General features: G+C 53.4%; 1 protein-coding gene across 11 annotated transcripts in view, besides 1 other annotated feature; it reads left to right on the forward strand.

Moving 5' to 3' along the window:
* The window catches only part of TSPAN15 (tetraspanin 15), a 98,044-nt gene that overhangs the window by 32,913 nt on the left and 52,083 nt on the right, over positions 1-13,048 (forward strand). For 6 of the 11 annotated variants that reach the window (XR_001747072.2, XR_007061951.1, NR_147091.2 and 3 more), the window contains exons 3-4: positions 764-838; positions 11,217-11,312. Coding sequence is in view for 7 of the 11 variants with exons in the window: in XM_017016010.2 (XP_016871499.1) it covers positions 764-838; positions 11,217-11,312 (171 nt within the window). In the remaining 4 variants the exon portion in view is untranslated. Of the gene's footprint in view, positions 1-763; positions 839-9,098; positions 10,445-10,628; positions 10,874-11,216; positions 11,313-13,048 lie in introns of those variants that run through there. The other 5 variants (XR_007061952.1, NM_001351263.2, XM_005269666.5 and 2 more) reach the window with 4 other exon arrangements.
* Positions 4,582-4,782: a silencer, noted in NCBI's record as "peak1006 fragment used in MPRA reporter construct". NCBI's record gives its function as "represses an SCP1 promoter by STARR-seq MPRAs in K562 erythroleukemia cells {active_cell/tissue: K562}" and the evidence as "EXISTENCE:reporter gene assay evidence [ECO:0000049][PMID:32103011]".

Here is a 13,048-nt window from a genome sequence, read left to right on the forward strand (position 1 = left end):
AGTCCCAGGACTCTGGTGGGCCTGGCTTGGGCCATGTGCCCATTCTGGGATGGGGCATGGGGAGTCAATCCTACCTGTATCCCATTATTGTGGGGTGAGGGATGACTCCCTAAAGCTGGGGGTAGTGAGTAGGCAGATCCATTCACTCTGCACTTGTGTGTCTCTTGACCTCATTGTCTCCCCTCATATGGGAAGCCCCTACGATCCACTGTAAACCGGGTTTGGGTGCTACTTGAGGCTGGAATTTGCTGAAATCAGTTTGGGTAATGCCTGCTCTCTAGTAAAGGGCAGAGGTGGGGGTGCATATCCTCTAAGCTTCAGCCATCCCCCTCACCCACTGTGGGGGATCTGGGAAGTCACATCTGAGGGCTCTCTGTGGGGAGCTGGACATACTGCCCCAGCCTGCCCATTAAGCCAGGCCTAGCCCCTCTGGCTCAGTGGCAACGAGGCCCAGCTCTCCTTATGGTGGTGGGGGAAGGGCGTGCTCTTCCACATAGACCCCCAAGACAAATGGAGGTAACCATTTGGCTGGGACAGCTGAGTCACTCTTCCTGCCCTCCGGCTCCAGAGACAGGTTTTCCTGGGGCCTGCCTGTCCACGTCCACGTTCTCACAGGAGGAGGGGGCAGAGGCCTAGGAGCTGGTAGGAGCTCCCCGAGGGATGCTTCTCTTTGTGCTTGCTCTTGGAGCAGATGGTGCCTCCCCTGTACCCCACACACGCCCACTGCTCCTCTCCAGGTGAGTCTCTGAATTCTGTTTTCCAGTTCATGTACATCCTTGGGATCTGCCTCATCATGGAGCTCATTGGTGGCGTGGTGGCCTTGACCTTCCGGAACCAGGTGGGCCTGTGGATTTGTGTATCGGCCATGTGTGTATGGAGCACCCACTGTGGGTGCCTTGGGCTAACTGGGGGTATGGCAGTGAGCAGGGCAGATAACCCCCATGGAGCTTTCATTCTGCTGAAAGAGAATGACAGGCACTGAACAAGTAAAGCAGCGACTAAGAAAATGAACCAAGCTGACATGAGAGCGCCTGGGGAGGAGATGGGAGGCCCGTGCTGAAATGGTAAAAGGAGCCAGCTGAGTGAGGTCCCAGCAGAGGGAAGCTGAGCAGAAATGAGCTTAGCATGTGAGCAAAACAGCGTGGAGGCCACGTGGCTGAGGGTAGGTGGGGTGGAGAGGGGTGGAAGGTGAAGTCGAAAGGGCTGGCCAGGCAGATCACAGAGGTCCTTGTAGGCCATGAGTTGGGAGCTTGGAGTTTTTTCTAGAGGTGACAGGAGCCTTTGGAGAGTCTTATGTGGGAAGCGATGTGACCCAGTTTATATTGTACCATGGCTGCTGAGTTGGGGAATGGACAGTGAAGAGTTGAGGGTGTACACAGGGGCCCAACTGGGAGGCTGTGGGGGGTCATCCTGGGAATGGGGTAAGATTGCTTGTACCAAGGTGGAGGCAGTGGGCCTGGGCCAAAAAGGCGATTTGATGTATATTTTGGAGGCAGTACCATCAGAGGCTGTTATGCCGGCTAGAGGAGTGAGGAGAGGGGCAGGTTGACAGGGTGATGCCTGGCATCCTGGCCCTGGCAGGGTTTGCAGAATCCGGGCCCCTTAGAGCCAGAAAGGTTCTCGTGGCTCCCGGCTCCAGCTCCTTCAGGCAGGATGTACGCACCTCATACTAGCTGTGCCACCTTGGGCGAGTTACTTGGCCTCTTGGATTATTAGGGGACACCTAGCTCACAGATCTGATGAGAGAATGCCTGTGAAGGACTGGGCACGGTTCTGGCACATAGTGGTCAAGGCCCCACAAGAAGCTGGTGGTGGAGCAGGGCTGACTCCAACCCAGGGCTCCATCTTTCCTCCCATAATCTTCTTCCTTGTCCTCATCCTGCATTGCTGCCATAGGTGGGGCTTGAGGAGCAGGACATGTTTGCAGAAGCCCCATTCTCTGTGTCCACTGCCTGGCCTGTACCCCTCCCTACCCCAGACAGCTTGGTCCTGGTGCATCTGGACAGTTGCTGCTGGGACATGCGTCAGAGCTGTGAGCCAAGTTATCTTTTTTTTTAAAAATAATGTTTGTTTATTTTTTTGAGACAGGGTCTCACTCTGCCACCCAGGCTGGAGCAGTGGTGCAGTCATAGCTCACTGCAGCCTCGAACCCCTGGGCTCAAGTGATCCTCCGGCTTTAGCCTCCCAAGTAGCTGGGACTACAGTCATGCACCCCTGTGCCCAGCCAAATTATCTTTCTTTTCAGCAGTTGCTCTTAAGGCAGCAGGTGCTGTCCCACACCCTGGGTTGTGCAGACCTCTCAGATGGCCCAGGATCTGGCCCTGTGAAAATGTTCATGGGAGTGCCTGTGATTCCAGCCCAGGTGGGAGCAGGGACCACACCAGTTCTGCTGGGGCCTCCTGCAGTGGGACCTAACCACAGGCAAGTCTACAAACCTGGAATCCAGAGGTCTTCCTGTTTTATGAGCCCCAGGAAAGGGGCTTTATTCCATTTGCCCATGAGGCTGCTTCTCCCTTTTCCTCTTTTCTACCTGCCCCTCCCTTTGCCTCTTTTCTGCTTATCAGAGCCTCTCTTCTGAGCTGGCAGATCCAGCATGCTGGTTCACTTTCCAGCAGCCTTGAGGGGAGAGATCTTTATTCCATTTGCCCATGGGGCTGCCTTTCTGTGCAGCCACCAGAGCTCCTGGCCAGCCTGCGGCTTTCCAGGGGCTACGGGTTAGTGCTTTCCTGGCTGGAGCCCAGGTCCAGTTTGTGGCCAACTAAACAGACTCCTGGATATAAGGAGGAATCTCCACCAGCCCGTGACCCCGGGCATGGTTTCTGCTGCTAGGCATGGCTTGACAGTCAGACTGAAGTGGCTTCTCCACTCATACAGGGGCAAGTGGCCATCCTATCAATGGAGTCATGGAGGCACACAGGAGTTAAGAATTCCCCCGAGAGCACACAGCAAGGCAGAGGTGCCTCAGGAATGCTTCCCAGTCCTGACTTGCTACCTGCCCCTCCCTGTCCCTCTTTTCTATTTGTCAGAGCCTCTCTTCTGAGCTGGCAGATCCAGGATGCTGGTTTACTTTTCAGCAGCTGTGAGGGGAGAGATCTTTATTCCATTTGCCCATGGGGCTGCCTCTCTGTGCAGCCAGCAGAGCTCCCGGCCGCCCTGAGGCTTTCCAGGGTTAGCACTTTCCTGGCTGGAGCCCAGGTCCAGTTTGTGGTCAGCAGCGTCCACGGCCTTCATAAACTATCCTCCAATGATGGGCAGCAGTTCTGGTTTCTAGTGCATTGCTGCAGAGGCCATCTGATTTGTCATTTTCCAGTGCCCTGTAGGTCAACAGAACATCACCTCCTTCTTTCAAGTGATGGAGCTGGGCTGAGATGAAGGCTTTGGCTGGCGGAACATCCAGGGGCCCTTCAGTGCTCACAGCTTGGGTTTCCGTGGGCCTGAGGTCAGGCCTGACAATTTCTCATCATCCCCAGACCCTGCAGATGCTGTAGTCCGTGAAGGGTGCTCCTTCCCCTTGGGTGGTGTCCCCTCATGGGTAGGGCCTTGGTATGCAGCCCAGGAAGGGTCCTCACTGACGCCTCTCCGCTGTTTGGAGGCTCAAGCCATGATTCGTCATCTTGAAAACTTAAAAAATGAGATACAAAATTATAAATGCAGTAAGATCGCTACAATGAAAAAAATAGGTCTACAAAAAGACTTAAAGGAATGGAAATATCAGCATATGAACTCATATTTCCTCTGAGGGATGAGACTAGGGTGATTTTTCTCCTCCCCTTTATATTTTTCCTTGGCTCTCAATTTTTTTTTATAATCAAGGGGAAAATATCACAAAAAGAAAAATAATATCCCTTCCAACTCTAATGTGATATGATTTTGTAAAACAGGAGTCAGGCCAGTGGCGGGGATGGGGGAGGAGCGGCCTGGCTGTTGATGATGGTAGGAAGGGCAGTGTATGATGGAGAAAAAGGTGAGGAGCAATCAAGGTCAGCTTCCAGGAGGAGGTGATTTCCCAATTCCATTTTTCCCTGATCAAGAGGATTTCTCTGAGCCACAATGTAACAAGTTCAGTCTCCAGTGCCATGGGCCCTGGTAACTCTGAGTATCTACTTATGAAAAGTCAGAACAAGTCATTAGGTATTGGGGGAACCCACCCCCAATATTTCACCATAGGTTCTTTCTATTTTCCATAAGTGTCAGCCAGCTGAGAAATAAAGAGAAAGAGTACAAAGAGAGGAATTTTACAGCTGGGCCGCTGGGGGTGACGTCACATTATCAGTAGGACCATGATGCCCACCTGAGCCTTAAAGCCAGCAAGTTTTATTAAGGATTTCAAAAGGGGAGGGGGTGCAAGAACAGGGAGTAGGTCACAAAGATCACATGCTTCAAAGGGCAAAAAGGAAAACAAAGATCACATGCTTCTAAGGGAAAAATCAGAAACTCCTCATAAGGGTCCAACAAAGATCACAAGGCAAAGGGCAAAAGCAAAGATCACAAGGCAAAGGGCAAAAGCAGAATTACTGATAAGGGTCTACCTTCAGTGGTGCACATATTGTCTTGATAAACATCTTAAACAACAGAAAACAGGGTTCGAGAGCAGAGAACCAGTCTGAACTCAAATTTACCAGGGTGGAGTTTCCCAATCCTGAGGGTACTGCAGGAGACCAGGGTGTATTTCAGTCCTTATCTCAACTGCATAAGAGAGACACTCCCAGAGCGGCCGTTTATAGACCTCCCCCTAGGAATGCAGTTCTTTTCCCAGAGTGTTAATATCAATATTCCTTGCTAGGAAAAGAATTTAGCGATATCTTCCCTACTTGCATGTCCGTTTATAGGCTGTCTGCAAGAAGAAAAATATGGCTCTTTTTGCCCAACCCCGCAGGCAGTCAGACCTTATGGTTGTCTTCCCTTGTTCCCTGAAAATCGCTGTTATTCTGTTCTTTTTCAAGGTGCACTGATTTCATATTGTTCAAACACACATGTTTTAAAATCAACTTGTACAGTTAACACAATTATCGTAGTGGCCGTAAGGTGACATACATCCCCAGCTTACGAAGATAACAGGATTAAGAGATTAAAGTAAGACAGGTGTAAGAAATTATGAAGTATTATTTGGGAACTGGTAAATGTCCATGAAATCGTCACAATTTATGTTCCTCTGCTGTGGCTGCAGCTGGTCCCTCCATTTGGGGTCCCTGACTTCCCGCAACAATTAGGCTAAGGATTACATGTTGGGTTCTCAGCGAGGTGCACAGACCACGGCCACAGCCAGGCATTGAAAGCTAAACAGACTCCTGGATATAAGGAGGAAACTCCCCCTGGCTCTGACCCCAGGCAAGATTTCTGCTGCTAGGCATGGCCTGACAGTCGGACTGGTGCCGCTTCTCCACTCATAGAGGGGCAAGTGGCCATGCACTGGGGAGCTGGGCACAGAGCAGCCCTTAGGAGCAGGAGAAGTACGACACCCCTGACCCCAGCCAGGGGCTGGAGGAGGACCTGAGTGACTTCCCCAGTTGTGTGGGTCTCAACCCTCTTGACACCTGCTTTTGTCCCAGCTTGTTCTGGGGCTTCTTGTGAGGGTGTCAGGTGTCAGAGGTGGGCAGCTCCTCATGCTTCCAGCCAGGTGCAGCTGAGCTTGGACACCTGGAGGGTCCGGGCAGTAGCGGGTGTGTCTATACCCCCATCCCAGGCCTCCTCTCTCTACCACCAGGGTAGGATCAGTGGGCATTGTGGTCCTACCTGACACTGTGGTCAGGGAACAGTGGGGAGCACCAGCCTGCCTATTTTATCATGGCACTGGCACAAGCTGGCTCTGGGCACAACCTTGAGGTCAGAGGCAGGAGAAAGTAGGCAGCACCATGGCTCTCTCGGCCAACACCTGAATATATAAAGTTTTCCCTTGGTGTCCGACGGGGATTGGTTCCAGAACATGCCCCTGACCAAAGGATACCCAAATCCACACATGCTCAAGTCCTTTATATAAAATGGTGTAGTACTTGAATATAACCTACACACATCCTCCTGTAAATTGCAACACTCCTAGATTACTTGCAAATACCTAATACAGGGCCAGGTGCGGTGGCTCATGCTTGTAATCCCAGCACTTTGGGAGGCCAAGGCAGGTGGATCATTTGAGGTCAGGAGTTTGAGAACAGCCTGGCCAACACAGTGAAATCCTGTCTCTAGTAAAAATACAAAAAGTAGCTAGGCGTGGTAGTGGGCATCTGTAATCCCAGCTACTAGGGAGGCTGAGGCAGGAGAATTGCTTCAACCCAGGAGGCAGAGGCTGCAGTGAGCCATGATCGTGCTACTGCACTCCATCCAGCCTGGGTGACAGAGCAAGATTCTGTCTCAAACAAAACAAAACAAAACAAAAAACCCAGATACCTAATACATTGTAAATGCTGTGTAGATAGTTGTTTATGCTGTATTGTTCTTTAGTTTGTATCATTTTTTACTGTTGTGTTATTTTTTATTGTTCCTTTTCCCAAATATTTTCCATCCACTGTTGTTTGAATCTGCGGGTACGGAACCCGTGGATGTGGAGGGCCGGCTGTGTATCCTTCCCACTTACAGCAGAGCGGTCGGCCTTACAGAAGTAGAGAGTGCTTCTCGCTGGTTTGGCCAGACTCCCCCACGGGTGTGCCCCACTGTGGAAAGCTGTCAGGGAGTGAGGCTGGAGCCCCCAGTCCCAAGGACACTGAAACATAACCCTCTCCCACCATGGAGATGAACCTGTGACCCTGGCCAGGTCTGAGGAAGGGTCTGGCAGATGCTCACTCCACACGCCCCTTCCCACCTTCTCCTGGTCCCCTGGGTTCTCTTCCATTCCTGATTGTCACATTGGGCTTCTATTGGGACTGGAGCAGAGGCTAGGGTCCGGGGGCAATGAGGGTAAGTCCCCGTTCTAGAGGGACTGGGAAAGGCTGAGATGATGGCTTGGCTCCAGGCGCAAATGAAGGAGGAAAATCCTGGGCCAAGCACCTCTCCTCCAAGTTTTTGTTTTGTTTTTGAGACAGTCTTGCTCTGTCACCCAGGCCGGAGTGCAGTGGTGCAATCACAGCTCATTGCAGCCTCAGCTCCTAGGCTCAAGCGATCCTCCCACCTTAGCCTCCTGAGTAGTTGGGACTACAGGTGCATGCCACCATGCCTGGATAATTGTGTGTGTTTGTGTGTAGATGAGGTCAAGCCATGTTGCCCAGGTTGGTCTCGAACTCCTGGACTCAAGTAATCCTCCTGCCTTGGCATCCCAAAGTACTGGGATTATAGGCAGGGACCACCATGACCAGCTTCTCCTCCAAGTTTGAGAGCTAGGCCTGCACTAGGCCAGCAGCAGGGCCTTCCCAGCCTCAGGTCTCAGGCTTACATGGAAGTGGTGTTAGCCAGAGGCAGCCTGAGGGAGCCCCGGGCCACTCCTTCCCCAGAGAGGTTCTTGGTCCTGTGCAGGCAGCTGGCCTGGTAGGAAGCTTTAGCGGCCGCCCCTTCCACTCCTTTTCCTACCCCTCTGTCCTCTGTGTTGGAGGAGCTGCCGCCACATGCCTCACCCCCTTCAGTTCCTCATTCATTTAAAAACCCTGAGAGAGGGGTGATGTGGAGGCTTCAGATAAAAACTAGATTTAAAAGGCAAAGCTAGAAAGGATAGTTCTTCATAGCTTTCTCTGGTGCTTTAAACAACATGCTTTCAAACCTTGTGGCTTTTGATGTTTGCTTACTCTTTGCTTAATTTAGCCTGGTTTTCTAGTCCTCACTGGAGCTGCCCCTGCTGGCATGGCCTGGTTTGGAGGGGAATGGGGTGGGGGCAGTGGCACTGGGTATGTTGGGCATCTGGGAATGGCAGAGGAAGCTAGAATTCTCTCTTCCCTGTCCTCTGAGTGGCTCCCCTGGTCTCTCGGAACATTACCAGTGCTGTCAACGGCGGCATAGCACTTTACAGTTAAACTGCACAGCCAGCTTGCCTCACGGGATCTTCTCACACACACCCACCCCCAACCATCGCCCCTCACAGCACAGGAACCATCTCAGTGTCCTCGTCTCCCCGGTACACATACACACGTGCACACACATACAAGTGGTGCACACTTGCAAGAACCAGCATGCCTCAAAGAGCTCCCTGATGGGGGTTGGGGGCAGCTGCTGTCCATGAAGCCCAGGGACATCTGTTGCTCCTGCAGGGCCCCCCTTCCCCCAACAACAGGGCTCAGCTTACCAGATGAAAGGCCGAATTTTTCCAGGCCCCTCTCGAAGCCCGAGCCTTGGAAAGTGCCCAGGAGGCGGGATGGTTTGGGGAGGCGGGATGGTTTGGGGAGGCAGGCTGGGGCTGCTCACCAGAGAGGCAGAGCCTTTCCCCACAGCCACAGAGCAGCCTCTACTCTGCCACTTCCCCTCCTTCCTGCCCTGGGCTTCCCACCTTCATCCCACCCTGTTGGCAGCCCTGGGAGAGTCCAAACAGCACAGTGGCCAGTGGGGGTGCTGTAAGTGGGCCAGTGGGCCCGGGTAGGTGCAGAGGGACATGGTGGGCCAGGACTGTGTCTGTGGTGCCTTGAGAGTAGGGGGAAGCCACCCGGGAGGAACCTCCCCACGTGTGGCCTTAGGCAAGGCCCTGACCCTGGCGGCACCCCATGAGTACGTAGCTCAGCCAATCATGTCGTTCAGTGCTGTAAGCTCATTCCCCTGCCCCACCCTGGGTGGCAGACTGGCCCCACCCTGGTATCCTGTTTTTTAGGCACCCCCAACCACACCCCAGCCAGCTGGCCTGTCCCTTCATCACCCAGAGGAGCAGGCACCCAAGGATGGAAAAGCTTTGTGACCTGGGGGCCTCTGGGAGGTGGGCCTGGGGCCAAGAGAGTCCTTGTTCTGCCCAGGCTGCTCGGCTGGAAGGCAATGCTCCCACCCAACTTCTGCCCCGGGGGCCAGTGCCAGGTCCGCGAAGGGCCATGGGCTGGTGAGTTGACAGCTGCTCACAGGAGCCTGCATCTCCTCTCTTCTCTTGGGGCTGACTCCAGTCTTCTGCAATCCCAGGCCTGCTCCAGAGCTGCTGTTTATCATCAGCAGAGGACTTTCCTTCTGGCCACGAAGGCCAGTTTCTCCGAGCCCATCTCCTTTTTTTTTTTTTTTTTTTTGAGACAGAGTCTTGCTCTGTCACCCAGTCTAGAGTGCAGTGGTGCCATCTCGGCTCACTGCAACCTCTGCCTCCCAGGTTCAAGCGATTCTCCTGCCTCAGCCTCCCGAGTAGCTGGGACTACAGGCGCACGCTGCCACGCCTGGCTAATTTTTTGTATTTTTAGTAGAGACGGGGTTTCACCGAGTTAGCCAGGATGGTCTTGATCTCCTGACCTTGTGATCCGCCTGCCTTGGCCTCCCAAAGTGCTGGGATTACAGGCGTGAGCCACTGCGCCAGGCCGCCCTGCTAATTTTTGTATTTTCAGTGGAGGCAGGGTTTCATCATATTGGTCAGGCTGGTCTCGAACTCCTGACCTCAGGTGATCTGCCCACCTCGGCCTCCCAAAGTGCTGGGATTACAGGCATGAGCCACCGCGCCAGGCCTCCATCTCCTTCTTTACCTTGGCTTTGAGCAGAGCGAGGCTCGGGGAGGAGGTGGGTGCTGCAGTCTTTGTTCCTCTTTTCCTGATCCTGGAGATAATTTTGGGAGATGGCCCCAAACCTGAACCTTGGTTTCTTAGCACCTTAAAGTGTGTCAGGCTGGGAGTTTGACACCCTGGTCCCAGCGTCTCTCTGCCAGTGGTGTGCTGGGCAACCTCGGACTAGCCACATCGCTCTCTGGGCTGCAGGGTGTTGTGAGAGTGGGGTTGGCCAGGACTCGTGCCTCAGAGGCTGCCTCCATTGCAGTCAGTTTTTTGAACAAGAGTTGGGGCCTCGGTTTCCCACGGGATTTGTTTTCCACCAATGACGTGGGTGTGAAGTAGTACCATAGAGTATTTGTCTCCTTTAAAAACAGACAAAAATCTTGAATAATAACACCAGGACCTACAATGTGCCTGGTGTCCTGCTAAACACCTTCACAGCTTTTGTTTATTTAAATCTCACAACATCCCTATGAGGCAGAGAGTGTTTTCCTCCTGATTTTGCAGGTGAGCAAACAGAGGCTCAGAAGTTAAAAGAAGTAGCGGAGGCCCAGGTGGCTGTAGGGAGGTGTCCTTGATTATGAGGCTTGACAGCCCCTCTGAGACTTGGTTTTTGATTCTCAGAGCTCGAAGTTACCTTAAAGATAGGCCTACGGGTTTGGTTCACAGTTGGGAAGCTGAGGCCCAGAGAGGAGAAGTAAGCCGCGATGGGGCCTGGAACCAGGATCCTGTTGTCCCAGCGTACGCTGTGGTGCCACCCCCGGGAATTGTCTGGCTCTTCAGTCTGGCACCGGAGCCGAGAATGCCCCCTTCGTCCCCAGTCTCTGCTGATACTCGACCTCCGTGCTCTGAAAGCTGCGATTGTTACAGTGAGCTGGGCTGCCCACGCTCCTGCCCCCGCCCCTTCCCACTGTGGGGCCCTTTGTGCTTCTGGGTCTCAGCACAACAGCCGGGCTGTTGATCCAGAAAGCGCAGCGTGACTGGGAGAGGGCGGCCTGCCATGTTCCTCCCGGCAGGGATTGTCCCAGCCCTAGCCGAGGGGGACCGAGTGCTGCAGTGATGAGGAGAACAGCCCATGAGGGAGGTCAGGAGACCTGAATTCCAGTCCTGGCAAGACCCCACCCAGCCTGCTCTGTGACCTCACTCCCTCCCCAAGTCTCGAGCTCCTCATCTGTAAAACAAGAGGCTGGATGGTGGAGGAGTGTGGAGAGGGGCTCTGGAGGGCAAAGGGAAGATTCCAGCGTGGGCCCATCCCTGGGCGGTAGAAAGAGCACTGGGCCTGGAACCAGGACAGCCAGGTCTCAGCTCAGGCATGGCGGCATCAGAGCTGTGTGTCCCCAAGCACGGCCCCAGCCTCTCAGGGCCTGGGCTGTCTGGTCTGCAAAGGGAGTGGAGTGAATTACTCCTGCTGGGACATAGCACAGGCACTCAGGCATCAGATGAACACTGGAGGCACGGGGAGGATGTGTGGGTAGGGAGGTCACGGGCATCCAGGGTGGGGAGTGGAGGGGGCTCCATGCTGGCTGGGCGCGAGCTGCATTGGCACAAGGCATTCTCTACCCATCCAGGCTTCTGGAAAACCTTGGGTTGGACTCCGGGAGTGTGTGGTTCTTTTCCTTTGTAATTTCTCCTTTTGAATAGACCATTGACTTCCTGAACGACAACATTCGAAGAGGAATTGAGAACTACTATGATGATCTGGACTTCAAAAACATCATGGACTTTGTTCAGAAAAAGGTGAGCCAGGCGCTTTGGGGTAGAGATGCGCCTCCCGTGCTCTTAGCCCCCCATTCAGGCCCCTGCTCAAGAAGATGGGGTGAGGGACCAGGTGACTTATCCATTCCCAAAGCAGGTGGCTGGCCAGATTGGGAGGCAACAGTGAGCATGGATGGCCCACCAAGGATGGGGAAGCCAGGGCCCAACCTATTCAGCCAGTCCTCTGCCCACATTCCTGACCCAAAACCTTCACACCCTTCTGTTCCTCTCCAGTTACACTGGCTTCCTGCCCCATACCCCCAAATAAAACAAAGTCAGGTGTTGCTACAAGCAACCTTGCAGGGTCCCAGGGCACCACCCTCCAATGGGCAAGGATCCTCCTTCCTTGAGGTGTGAGCAACCTCAAGGGGAGTAACCTACCCCAGTCCAAAGCCCCCTCTGCCAAGTCTCTTCAGTGACAACTCACTCCTTGTCAAGTTAAAGACATCCCTGATTGGGAGAAAGTTCTTCACTAATTTCAGTTTCCCCCAAATATGGGACAGTGAACCAGACGCCTCTCTTACTTTCATGACACTTCCTTGAATGTGATGATGATCCTATTCCTTTTGGGACACCATCTCTCCCCTCTAGGTCCACCCAAATCTGTTGGTGCAATAATAATAATAATAATAATAATAATAATAATAATAATAATAATAATAATGGCAGTGGTAGGGCCAGCTGCTGTCCTGGGTGGCTTTTGTACATCAACTTCACTTGGTCCTGAGCCTCAGCTTCCTCACCTACATAAGGGGAATAATGACAGGAGCTCTTGGGGCGTCGTCATGAGGATTACCTTGACTTAATTCAGGAGACGTGCTTAGAACAGTGCCAAGCACAGGGTGAGACCACAGTGCCAGCTGTGGGGATCATTGGTATGTTCTCCTGGGTGAGGACAAGTAGAGTGAGGGCTGCAGGCCCACTCAGCCGGGACAGCACTTCCTGGGACATAATCTTGGGGGCCTCAGCTGGCCTGGATCCTTGTGCCAGCTCTCAGTGGGGACTAGCCTCTCCCCACATGCAGGGCCACTTGCTGTGGCCGCTCCCTTGGCCCAGACTTTCTCTTCAGTCACAACAGGTGCAGCCTCTGGAAGGTCTTTTTCTGCCAGGGATGTGCCTGCCAGCTTGGGCTGGGAGAGCTGACTTCTGCTCCGGGTGGAGTGAGATGTTTTTATTGGAACCAGCCTTTAGCTGGCTTGGGGATTTCATTTCTCCTGGCATAGAGGTAGGAGGTGATTAATGCTGAATGGGCACTTGCTTGGTGCCAGGTCCAGTGCTGAGTGCTTCATGCATGGCACTCTATGTAATCACAGCTCAGCTGTGCAGAGCTGCCATCCTTATTCTTGCTTTACAGACAACCATCTGAGGCTCAGAGAGGCTGACCAACTTGCCTGAGGTTGCACAGCAGGGAGTGGTGGTCTGAGGATTTGACCTTGGGTCTGTTCCATTGCAAGACAAATGCCCTTTGAACTACATTGCAGAAAGACAGTTCTAGGTCCCAAAACCTGGTGGCTTAAGGGGCACTGTGGGGACTCTGAAAGGTGTCTGGCTACCAGGACGTGTACTGCAGCCCTGGTTGAGCCCTCCAGTCCCAGCTCCCTGCTTCAGCTGGCTGGCAAAGCTTTGCATGGTCCAGCCTGTGCCGCCCTTTCATCCTCATGCTCTGCACTCTCTCTGTTCCAGGCTTGTTGGCCTCCGCACCTGCTGCTGAAATACAA

The sequence above is a fragment of the Homo sapiens genome, chromosome 10 (genome assembly GCF_000001405.40).
Source record: "Homo sapiens chromosome 10, GRCh38.p14 Primary Assembly".
Lineage (NCBI taxonomy): Eukaryota > Metazoa > Chordata > Mammalia > Primates > Hominidae > Homo > Homo sapiens.